At 36.2% G+C, this 13,088-nt stretch overlaps 1 protein-coding gene across 1 annotated transcript, besides 1 other annotated feature; it reads right to left on the reverse strand.

Moving 5' to 3' along the window:
* Positions 1–13,018, reverse strand: PDK4 (pyruvate dehydrogenase kinase 4). Its single transcript, NM_002612.4, has 11 exons — positions 12,666–13,018; positions 11,525–11,666; positions 10,201–10,272; positions 9,262–9,446; positions 9,013–9,099; positions 8,490–8,567; positions 6,142–6,218; positions 4,229–4,327; positions 3,920–4,030; positions 3,512–3,625; positions 1–2,283 (listed from the first exon to the last, which is right to left on the reverse strand). The coding sequence occupies exons 1-11, from the start codon at positions 12,793–12,795 to the stop codon at positions 2,143–2,145; spliced, it is 1,236 nt and encodes a 411-aa protein (NP_002603.1). The 5' UTR covers positions 12,796–13,018; the 3' UTR covers positions 1–2,142.
* Positions 12,299–12,593: a silencer, noted in NCBI's record as "tiled region #6047; K562 Repressive non-DNase unmatched - State 20:ReprD". NCBI's record gives its function as "represses a minimal TATA promoter and a strong SV40 promoter by Sharpr-MPRA in K562 cells {active_cell/tissue: K562}" and the evidence as "EXISTENCE:reporter gene assay evidence [ECO:0000049][PMID:27701403]".

Consider the following 13,088-nt stretch of genomic DNA (forward strand, 5'->3'; position numbering starts at 1 on the left):
TTTTATCATCATAAAAAATATTTATTATAAAAAATTATCACATTTCTCTGTACATAGCATAAAGACAAAAACACAATGTATACATTAATAATTTAAGTGGGCCTGAGTATTCAGTATCCATCTACTAGAATCCTAAAGCTCTTCCCCAGATTTCACAAAGGCCAATGTAGATTATTTCTATTTTATCAAAGTTCATTTGCACAGTTGGTGTAATTGAGATACTAACATTTCTTTTTTCTAGTGTTTTAGAGATAGTTCACAGTATTTGAGTTAATTAATTAATCAACTGATTTAAATCTTTGGTAAATACAAGTATTTACATGTAAAAATGTTTAGCTCAAATTTCAGTAAAAAACTGAAATGACAAATAACCTACTGCAAACTGTTTTGTATAATCAGAAATGCATGAGCTGGACTCCCACCATTAAGAAATGTCACTGTCTAGGACTTCTGATGATAAAAACTGAAATCCACAAAAAAATAGTTGAGCTTCTATTACCATTACCAGAAGCACCACAACACTAGGCCACCATGAAATTACACACAAATGTCAAATTCAACATATAAACCATACTGATTATTTTACAATGCAGAAAAATCCTCCTTTTTTTCTATATGCCAGTTTAAATGTTAATTGACACGGGTAAGTTTATTATCTCAAAGCCTACTATCTTGTAAGAGTGAGAGGCATTTAAAGAATCCATACTGCTTTCAAAACACCAGTTCTTCCTCTTGCCAATGACATATCCCAGAAAATACAGATTTTTTTTGAAATAATTTGTGGGGAAAATAGAAAAATGCCTGCCTTCTGCTTCCCTCTCTTCCTATATCCTTTCTTTCCTTCCTGCCTTCTTTCATTTTTCCATTTCTTCTTCTCTAAGAGTAATCAGCGCAACTGGTCTGCCAACCTTCAAATTATACCTTAACTCTCCCAAAAATACCATATGCATTTCAGGTGTCATTCATTATCTCTCAGTCACAACAACTGACAAATGAAAGCATGCTGGCATGAGAATCTCTTACGTCCAGGCTATTTGCTTAAAATAATTACTCTAAAAGGTACTTAAATTCTAATGTTCTTGAGCCATTTGAGAATTAGTAATTTTTAAACAGACATATTAATGCTGGAGTGTAGAGAATATAATTAAATATATCAAAAATATATCTTTTAAGCCTAGAAAATGGATGCCTTTGGATTACCTTCATTTCAGGGTAGAGAAAAGCCCTTCCTACTGAATTAGGCTCTGAACATGTGATTTCTTTCCCTAACACTAGTTTTTCCAATCTACTAATTTATTTATAAACAAAGCAAAGTAAGAGATATTTTTGCTGTTACTTTGGCAATTCTCTCTCTCCAATCCCCAACATCCCGAGTTCAGTGCACATCTAACAATTCACTCAAGACTAGGCACCTGACAATAAGTGTTTACTTAGTGTGTAAAGTGAACAAGAAAAGCAGCATAATAAAGGAGCTGTGTTTTTATCAGAGGAGCCTTCCTTCTGAGTTTTTACATAAGTTGATGCCTTCACTGCAACTTTGAATACAATGCTTTGAATTTTGAAACACTTGAATAAAATGTTTGAATGCTTTGAATAAAATTCCTCCTCTTTCAGAGTAAACCTTATTTTAGTCACCAGCATTTCCTTCCATAGCACATAAATATGTTCAAAATGTACATTGACATATATTTGTAACCACATAGTGTAAACTAAGTTTTAATCCTTTGCATGGCAGGAAAATGCTGGTATTCTGACACCAATATCTTTTGATGTGAACAAGAGGCCTAAAATATCAGTCTTAGTGAAACTGCTAACCACCATCTTCACACTCACTCCCTTTCTTATTCTTATCAAAAACAGATGGAAAACTGAGGCTTATTTCTTCAGGATTTGATATAAACTCAGGAGTTATTCTACATTAAAAAATAAGGAGCTGGCCATCTGTTAACTCCTGTAGTCTTGCACTAAGTTCTCCTGGGTCACAGAAACAAGCTCCATTCCTCATTGGATCAGTGTTCTGATTAAGGAGTTTTCGTTGCTGTCGTTTGTTTTGGAGGAAACAAGGGTTCACACACAAACATTCAGGAAGCAGCACTGGTGTAGACCCACTTTGATCCCGTAAAGTGTCCTGAGTGTCCCTCTTCACATGGCCACTTCTTTTGCCAGGTTCTTTGGTTCCCTGCTTGGGATACACCAGTCATCAGCCTCAGAGCTCATCTGATAATGTTTGAAGGCTGACTTGTTAAAAACTGGAAGTTTTTCTATAGACTCAGAAGACAAAGCCTAAAAGAAAAGGGGGGAAAAACATGAGACCAAAGAAATTATGCATGGCATAATTTGCACTTGAAGTTATTACTCAAAATACATTCAGAGGTAAGTATCCAAACATTCAAATACATTCATTTAATTGACACAGTAATAAGAGCACACTGGTGCCTGCACTCAGTCTATGGCTCTTTCTTAATAGTTTGAAGACTTTTGCTCATTTAAGAAGTGAATACATTAACTATTTCAGATGGTGAAAAGGCCATTTGGCAAGTAATTCCAGTGCAAAAAATGGGAGCCTGAAAGTTTAATGTTTTAGTTGCTAATATCTATATTTTCAGTTGAAATAGTCAGCAAATGAACAGAATCAAGACAGTGATCTTAACAAAGAAATTGAGGCTTTACCAGAAACAGGAAAATATGCACCAAGGTTTTTTTTTTTTTTTTTTGAGACGGAGTCTAGCTCTGTTGCCCAAGCTGGAGTGCAGGGGCACGATCTCAGCTCACTGCAACCTCTGCCTCCCGGGTTCAAGCAATTCTCTTGCCTCAGCCTCCCAAGTAGCTGGGGTTACAGGCACCCGCCACCACACCCAGCTAATTTTTGTATTTTTAGTAGAGACGGGGTTTCACTGTGTTGGCCAGGCTGGTCTAGAACCACTGAACTTGTGATCCACCTGCCTCGGCCTCCCAAAGTGCTGGGATTACAAGCGTGAGCCACTGTGCCCAGCCAACATGCACCAAGTTTTTAAGTTCAAACAGTGAATGTCTGGCACCCCACTGACAGCTTTGGAACAGTCAGCTTTCCTTTCCCAGGATTTCTAACAAGGTCAGCTTAAGGACTTGAGTATCTTGATACCTGTTATTTTTTCAGGCTGGAACATTATTAGCATATATTTCCCACAAATCTAAGTAAAATAAAAGCACAGCTACTCTCATAGATGCCAAAAGGAGTTGCCTTAAAAAATTCACATGAACATGTCCTCATTCTGAAACTTTGGTAATGTATTAACCTTCTTAGGAAACAATTTTGCTTCACTTGAGGCAGGTAGTATGGCCCAGCTTCCTCTTTGGTAAGTTATCATATTAAATAATGTACACACACCCAGAAAGAGAAGAGAATGAATGACCTGTAGTCATTATTTGCATTAACTCAGTTTGGGGAATTCACTCCAGACCATAGCACTCAAGGCTATAAAAGGAGCAATGGTTTTAGAAACAGGATTTTGCTATTGAATTCAAGGGATACCTTTAAGTAGATGATAGCATCTGTTCCATATCCTGATAAAGAGTAGAGATTCAGATCTCCTTGAAAGTACTTTGCATACAGACGAGAAATTGGCAAGCCGTAACCAAAACCAGCCTAGAGAAGAGAGACGTTATCAGGTAAAGAAGTGTATGTGATCACTGAAATACAAACAAGCAGGAAATTACTGTCCTCACTGATACTAATGTCCTAGAACCTAAATAAATATCTTCTACTTCCAATCAGACATCCCTTGTTTCACCATTTTTAGCTTGCTTTATCATTCATTCTTATATCCTTCATGTCTAATTTTACTTAATTGATGAACTTGTCTAAATAATCCCTTGCAATCCTTGCTCTACATTTAGAACTAGGTGGCTGAGATTAATTTAGCCATATAATTGTTCTTACCAAAGGAGCATTCCGGGAATTATCCATCACAGGCGTTGGTGCAGTGGAGTATGTATAACTAAAGAGGCGGTCAATAATTCTCAGGGGAACACCACCTCCTCTGTCTGAAATCTAAAACAAACAAACAAGTCATCAAAGCCACACATTAAAAACAATGTGCATTTGTCTAAATAAAAATGGCTTTCCTTCATTTAAAAATCACCTGGCATATATGACTGTTATCTATTGCAAAAAGCAGACAGCTTTATTACTATTGACCCTATTTAATTCTCTCAAGAGACACCCAAAAGGAAAACAGAGAATGGTTACCTTAATGGTAAGGTCTTCTTTTCCCAAGACAACAATAACCTCTATTGGTGTAAGGGAAGGCTGATTTTCCTGGTGTTCAACTGTTGCCCGCATTGCATTCTAAAACAAAGCAAACCATAAGGAATTCAATGGCAGAGGAATGAGGGACAATAAATGTTTTTTTTTTTATGTTTAAAATAAAAGTAGCACAGAGGGTAATTCAAAGTTCCTATTTTTTTAAGTTAGTAGTAAAACAGCTTTGTAAATAGCCATTTATGAATGGGTCATGTAGGATGTATAATGAAAAATATTCATTTACTATGTAATATAGCTCCTGGGAGTAATGTCTAATGGAAACCAATTCTGCTAGCTGTCAAGTTCTTATTTGTAAGCTTAATTTAAATGTAGAAATTGGTTTTTATAGTCCATTTCCTAGCTCTCCCTTTTCTATCTTTCTATTACGTTTTACATCCAAGCACCAAAGACTACTATATAACAAATGAACAGTGAAATCATTGAACCAATTTATTGGCTTTCATAAAACTTGCTGTGAAAAGGTTGTTACTATTTAAAAGGACAGTCAATAATTCTAAATTGAATTTCAATTTGCATTTGATTATCATCTAACTTTTACCAATGATGGCAGAATAACTCTATGAGTTGTATCATTCAACTTAAAAATAAATCAAATCAATGAAAAAGTATCCTTTGTCCTTTAACACAGAACAAACTAAAAGATGTTTTCCGTCTATTGGCTGAATCTCATACAGATACAGTCTTGGTTTTCTTAACCCATTTTCCTTTCTCACCACCTGTCTACTTTCTGCTTTCTGGTTTTTAAATAATATTAAGTTCTAGTCATTAGCTGTAGTGAAATAAAGTAGATCAGATGTTTGTAGTACAGTCAGTACCTCACAGCAGTAACATTAGAATAAGTTAGGAAACAGGAAGTTCTGGAAAGAGTTATGTCAGAATTAGAGGCAGATTTGTCTTTTTTAGGCTTCCTTCTCTCCAATTCAGGGGACTCTTGGGAAGCATCAAAAAGCTTAAGGTGTTTTTCTATTTTTTGGTTTAAGTTCAATTTGATCTTAATTTAACTTAATCTTAGGACGCATGAAAGGATTTGATTCTTAGCACCTGGCTGCCTCAGACCAGTAACATCTGTATCCTTTGAGAGCTTGTTAGAAATGCACATTCTCAGACCTGAAGAATCAAAATCTCTGGGGTAGAGCCCAAGAATCTGTGTTTTAACATGCCCTGCAGGCGATTCTAATGCATATTACAGTTTGAGAAGCACAACTCTACAGGCCTGCTAGGCAAAGTGTGCATTGTGGACCAGCAGCATCACCCCTTAGCTTATTCAAAATTGAGAATCTCAGGCCCCACTCTAGACTTCCTGAATCAAAATTTTCACTTTAACTAAGTCCCCAGGTGATTCATATGCACTTTAAAGTAGATGATTGAAGGAACTACTGACTGTGCTCTTAGCACATTCTGGACTCTGAATGGAGCCATACCACCTACAGGAATTCTGGACCTGAACTGCTGAGTTAGGAGTAGGACCAGCCTGTGGGGGTGGAGGTAACAAGGCCTCATTCACTGAAACATTCACCCCATGACCTCTCTTAATGAATGAATAAATGACTAGTTCTTTAATGGGCACCTGAAAAAATAATAAGAACTTCCTCTTGGCTGTAAAGCATTGATACATCATGAATTGTATGATGCATTCTCAAATATGTGTTGATGCTACAATGAGCTACATGTACTTTGTCAAACATTGACTGTATAGTTTCTTTCTCTTAGGAGGACTAGAAGCATTCTTGGGAAAAGATATTGAGGCTTCTGTTTTGTGGCGAATAATAAAGGAGATAAAAATATAACTGTTAAACCTTTTTAAAAGGTAAAATTTCAATTATTGTGAAGTATCATACCTTAAATAGTTCAAAGAGCATATGATGGAGGTGAGAAGGAACATACACGATGTGAATTGGTTGGTCTGGAAATTTTCCTAGAAAAATAAAATTCATTAAGAATTTGTAAACAAATACTTCACTAAAATAAACCACCACATTCATGTGATTAACATTTTAGACTTCAAGAGGGTTGGCATATTCTCTACCTTCCCCATCCCCAAATCCTGCCCTAGAAACTTACCACTTAAACAGTAAATATTACTGGCTTATATTCAAAATGTTGTTGTAGTTGCTACATAATGCTCTTTTGTTAATTGTTTTTTTTTTGTAGAGATAGGGTCTTACTATGTTGTCCAGGCTAGTCTTAAACTCCTGGCCTCAAGCGATCCTCCAGCCTTAGCCTCCCAAACTGCTGGGATGATAGGCATGAACCACCTTGCTCCATATGATTAATTTTTGTATTTCTCCACAAATGTGTGAAGTTGGGTAAGTGTGGAAGAACAGTGCTATAAATTAGATTTTGTGGATTATTTCTATTTTCAACATTTTTGTACTGCACAATTTCAGAGTCAAAATTTTATGTATTTTAAGACAGAAGGGAGAAAACTGTGCTTATAGCATAATATTGAAATTAATGCTAACTATAATTTTCATATTTTTAATATTTAGTAAAATAACACACCTGATTTTTCTTGTTTTTTGTATCACCCAAACATTAAATCTTATATGTTAAATATGCTAAAATTTTACCAAGAGGATAAAGGAAACAGACAAACAAAAACCTCTTAATGCTTTTTGGAAAGAAAAATAAAAAGTAAAATAAAATTAGAAAGAAAAGAAAAATAAAAGTATTATTCTTCAGCGTTCCAGGCCTTGGCAAAGTTCGAATCAGAAAACACAAGGTCTGGCACAATCCCCTCTTTATTTTGTCCAACAGTTGGAGCAGTTTATCTACAAGTATTATGCAACAACCCTGTTTATGCTCAGAGATACGTTCCATTCTTTATTTGCTCTTCTACTTTTGGTATTTATTTACATTTGCTTGTCCCTAATCTGTTAGGCTACTCTTTGAGCAACTTGATTTTAACTGTCACCATAAACAAAAACTGTTCCTGTATAAATATTACTTGAGAAAGATGTTTACTTTAAATAGAAAAGAGAAGGTAATTCCAATTTAAGTATACTGTTTTGTTTTAAGATGCAACTATTTACCAGAACAGAATGGGAAGGGGTGAAAATAGTGCCTTTCGTTCATCATGTAGTCACTTCAGTCATTCAGACAGTATGGGAAGACCTTGTCAGAATTGAAATTTTGTTTGTTTGTTTGTTTGTCTGAGACAGGGTCTCACTCTGTCACTTGGGCTGGAGTGCAGTGGGACAATCATGGCTCACTGCAGCCTTGACTTCCTGGTCTCAAGTGATCATCTCACCTCAGCCTCCTGAGCAGCTGGGACTACACGTGTGTGCCACCATGCCTGGCTAATTTTTATTTTTTGTAGAGACAGTGTCTCCCTTTATTGCCCAGGCTGGTCTTGAACTCCTGGGCTCAGGCAAACCTCCCACCTCAGCCTCTCAAAATGCTGGGATTACAGGTGTATGCCACTGAACCCAGCTGAGCTGAAGATTTTTGAAGTATGTTCTGCTTCCAAAACAGTAGTATAAAACAATAGTGCAATTTTTTTTGTATTGGGGTGGAGACATTTAACATGAGATCTACCCTTTTAACAAAATGTTAAGTGTACAATACAATATCCTTAACTATAAGCACTATGTTGAACAGCAGAACTCTAGGATTTATTCATGTTGCATAACTGAAACTTCGTTATCTGTTGGATAGCAACTCCCCATTTTCCCCTTCCTCACAGCCTCTGACAACTACCATTCTACTCTGCTTCTGTGAGTGTGACCATTTTATACATCTCATATAAGTGGAATCATGCATCTGTCACTGGCTTATTTCTTATAGTGAAATTTAAAGTATTTTTGTCTCCAGGTCTTATGGGTAACCTCTTTAAGAGGATATTTCCACTGCTATATCCTCCCTACTTCTGGTCTCTTTATCCCTCATATTCTATAGGAAGTAATCTTTCTTTGATCTAAGATATTGGAATATAGTTGCTACTTTAATCCCATATTATTTGTTCAAAACATTCTTCTTTATGAATCCTCATTAGCAACTGAATAGGCAGAATTGGAGCCTTCCAGTTGAGATAGTTAAAGAGAACCTTGTCTTCAAAAAAAATGTGTACAAACTTTAGGCAAGAGAAAAAATGAACACAGAAGTTGCTTTATATTTACAAAAAGCAATAATATTAGGAGAACACAGAATTTTCCACAGGTTAAAATATATTTTACTTATAACTTACCATTCACTTGTGTAAGCTTTAATTCTGGAGATGATAAATAATACTGATCACAGAGCATCCTTGAACACTCAAAGGCATCTGGAATAGAAGTTGTTTTTTATAACAATGAAATGAGTTTATGCCAAGTACAGTTCTCAAATAATCTTCAGTGTCTGTATTACCCTAATCTAAAATATTCACTAAGGTACAGGTTTATGTATATAAAAATATATTTTAATATTTTATTGAAGAAAAATTAAGACAGTGTTTGCATTGCAGTTTTAGCAATATGTGCACTTCAGAGACTAAATACAACATATAAAATATGGCATGTTAGTCACTTATATTTGGATTTTTAAATAATATTTTAGAGGAATGTTTATACTACTGACTCTCAAAAGCAAAGGACCTTGAAGATAACATTTATAAAATAAATGGAACACTCTGTGAATATAAATTCATTCACAGAGTCACCTCAATTATAGATATGTCAATCATATATTGTACATTTTCAATAAGGGAAGTGCAGAAATACAGAACATACCTTGGACCACTGCTACCACATCACAGTTAGGATCAATGCTTCCAATGTGGCTTGGGTTTCCTGTCTGTGAGTCACTAAATATAAGAACTGTTGAAAAATAAAAACAAAAAAAAATTGTTATAAAATTCAGGATAATGATTAGTACTATCACTGAGAATGTGACCCGCTGATTAGTGAGACATCTAGTTATAGTATGGCTTATATTCTACACCCATGTCTATATACCATGATCATGATGAGCTAACTTACTGTGCTGGTTCATCAGCATCCGAGTAGAAATACGGTTCATGTAAAATCGATCCAAGAAATATTGAAGATTTTGATTGGTGACTGGGTCAACTGTACAGGCATCTTTATACTCTATGATTCCTTGTGCCATTGTAGGGACTACATTATGGTGTCTATTTCGAACTTTGATGAGTGTATCTACAAAGCTAAGCCACAATATTTATGGTTAGTAAAAGTTCAAATACGTTTCATTCACTTATACTCCTAAGGTTACTTCACAGAAGGCTAAAGTTTTTTTTGCATTACCCATCTGAACAAATCAAATGATAAAACATTAGTCCTTTATTAGTAATCTCACTACAGATTCTTCCACTAGAGTAGAGGAGATAATTTCACAAACAGACTCATTTTGTTTCTAGCTTATATGTAAAACTATTAGCCTTATAACCAATGCATTCATCAGATGTATTCATTAAGTCTTCTCTTTATAAAATAATGATTAATATCTAATATCATCATTCTAGAGATGACTCTAGAATGCCATTGTGAAAAAACTTTCAAAATTTCTTGTCAGATTTAGAAAAGATCCTTATTTAGGTAGCTAGAAACTATCAGTTACTCTGAAAGAAAATGTTTAGTCTCCAATGACGCTGAAATGTATTAAAACTATGTAATGGTAAATCCTCCTACACATCTCATTATTGGAGTAAATTTATAGTAAAAATAGGTCTCCCTGGGGGATCAAAAATGAGTCCTCTACATTTCTTCACACTCAGCATCATTTTCAATGCCATATTTCTTCGCTTCTGAAAAACCAACAAGCCAAAACTTGTCATGTGTAAGAGGGTAGTGATTTATTATTCAGAGCTGAATTCCTTTAATTTAGGTCTAAAAATATCTTAGGAATCTATCTGGAAAGAACCAAAGTTTTAAACACTTATTCTAATGCATAGAGCTTACTCTGATAATGCTTTCTGGTCATCTGGGCTTTTCTCATGGAATTCCACCAAATCCATCAGGCTCTGTATATACCTGTAAAGAAACAGGTATGCTTTAAGTTTTAAAATTAATAGTCAGATACAAATGGCTGAAAATAGAATAGCTTTTTCAAATAATTTGAAAAGAGAAAGTAAGCATTATGTTCAAACTTAAAACTTTCCTCCAGAACATTTGGAAAATAATATAAATTTAAAATGCTATAACTTTTAATCCTTGACTTTCAAACTTAAAATTTAACGCAAAATGTTTCTTTAACTATTTCAGGTCAGTATTCAGTTTCCTGACTGTTTTGTTTGGCAAATATTTTCATTTCTTCTAGCAATAATACTTAGAAACAACTTTTTTTAAAGCTTTTTATTTTTTTTCTACTACATTCATTCATAGAAGAGTGTAAGTCTTGACTGCAATAGTAAATACTACAGATTGAATATATGTTTTAGATTGTAATTGTCTTATAGGTATATAATACATGTATTTCTTGAATCAATGAACAAAAGGCTGTGCAGTCAGTGGATTAAGATAAGGGTCTCATGCATGTCTGCTACCTGTGCATATCCTGCTTCTGTGACCCAAAAATTTGCTGTTTTGGGTTACCTACCTTCTCTAAGCATCAGTATCTTCATTTATAAAATGAGATGACAACAACTGACACTTACTGACTGCTGGCTGTGTGCCAAGTGCTGTCCTAAGTGGTTTTTTTTTTCTTTTTTATGGATTATCTCATTTCATTACACTCAAACATCCCTCTGAGGCATATACTTTAATCTCTTTAATAACAGATGGGAATAATAACTCAATGGCATAAAGAGTTTAAGACACTTGCCAAGGATTCCACAACTAGAAGTGACAGAGGCAGGATTTGAACCCAGAGCCCACTCTGTCAATCACTTTGTAAGTTACAAAGATTAGGCCTTCCCTAAATAGCAGTCATGTGAATTGGTTTCTAGGCATAGGATTTCTTTTGCAATATCAAACTCTTTTATTATTGAAAGTGCTCTTCTATAATTGAAAATTAAAATTGCATGCCAATTTTTTTCAAATTTTTCCTAGAACTCAAAATTTTATTATAAAGTAATCTACTTTTTCAGGGTAAAAATGTCTGTTTATAGTTTTATAACTTCTCTAATGATAACTTACCCTAAATTAATTTTAAAATTCTTACATCTTTCAAAAGTAGTTACCATTCAGATCACCTGTTTTCCAATTATGATGTTAACATAGTATAAGAATTCATACCCGGGTAACTGTTTCAAAACTAGAGACTTCAATATGGTTCACCACTTACCAGCTTTTAACCAATTGCACTGAAGAGGTATTTACTAATTGGGTCGGGAGGATATCAATTTCCTTCAGAATGTTGGCGAGTCTCACAGGCAATTCTTGTCGCAAAAATGCAAAAGAAGTTCTTTCACATGCATTTTCTGAACCTATAATAAATGAAATCAATTTAGTTTTGAGAAAAAGTGTGTCTAAATGATATATCTAAATAGCATTAACTATCAAATATTGAACACACATATATTATAAAATTATATTTCACTCTCAGTTGGGTTACTGTTAATCGATAATTCAGGGGCGATTGTCTCCTTAATTGACTAATTCCCTTCGTCCTTTCGTCTTTCCTTCTTTCTTTTAAAAAGTGACAGATATAGGAGAATTATTGTCTTCTCTTTTTGAAGAGGATTCACTTCCAAGAAGTAAGAATATCCCACAGTTCTTAGAATTTATAAAAGACTGCAGGATTCGGTCACACCACAATGTCAACAACACAACATCCTTTAATGAGTGGGGACATGGAATTGGAGTTGGGGGATAAGAGGCTGGAGGGGGAGCTGTGATATTTCCAGAGTAGTGATATCACATTTAAACCCTTGAAATCTTCCTTATAAGATTACTGCAACAAATGTGTAAATATTTTCAGCAACAATGCAAATATATGGAAAACTATAATGATAAAGAGACAAAGAAATCTGTCAGGAATGCAGAGAGATGTACCCTGTGGAAGGATGCCAGGTGGCTAAGGAATAAAATCTGTTAATTTGAGGCTATTTAATACTATTCAGAAACTTCTCCAAGCAGTACTATGCTGTGAAGGAGAGGATAAAGTTTCCAGTCCATTGTTAAACGGTGACCGAAAGCAAAAAGTATTTTGACTGGAAGAGCGGGTCAGAAAGAAGAGTGTGCAGATGAAGTCAAACCATCCAGCGTCGGCAGGCTTGCAGGTGGCCTTGACCTGGAGGCACCCCTGTCAGAAAGTAACCAAATCTAGGAAAAGGAAAGGTGTGCTGGCGTCGAGGCTCCAGGGCTCAGCAGCAAAGTGAACCCCAGTTGTTTTAGCTTGAGCCTAGCCCTCCCTCTACCAAGGCTGAAAGTTAAGGCAGTTCCCCAACCCTAGGACCCAGCTTGGGCCCTGTGTCCCCTCTCACCAAAGTCCAGTAGCTGCTTCATGGACAGCGGGGACGGGCTGTAGCGCGAGAAATGCTCCACCTCTCGGGGCACCAGGCCGGCGCCGTTGAGCGAGCCAGCGCTGCGCAGCACGAAGCGGGCCGCCTTCATCTTGACGCCCACCCGGCCTGGCGGGGACTGTGGCTGGCTTGAGGGGCGAAGGCTGCTCGGAGCAGAGCCTGGTTCCGAGGGGGCGCGGCGCGTCCGGGCGAGGACTGCAGGTGCGCTGGCTGGCTTGTGCGCCCCGGCCTGGGCTGGGGTTTGAGGGTGCCGCGGAGTGAAGAGTCTGGGCAGAGTCGGAGATGCAGTGGTTCGAGATTCAAGTTCAAGTCTTCCCACCAGCCGCCGCCGCCCGAGGTTTTATTTGTCTCCCCGCACTCTCCCCCCGAGTCCCAAACAGGAGG

The sequence above is a fragment of the Homo sapiens genome, chromosome 7, assembly GCF_000001405.40.
Source record: "Homo sapiens chromosome 7, GRCh38.p14 Primary Assembly".
In the NCBI taxonomy this organism is placed as follows: Eukaryota; Metazoa; Chordata; class Mammalia; order Primates; family Hominidae; genus Homo; species Homo sapiens.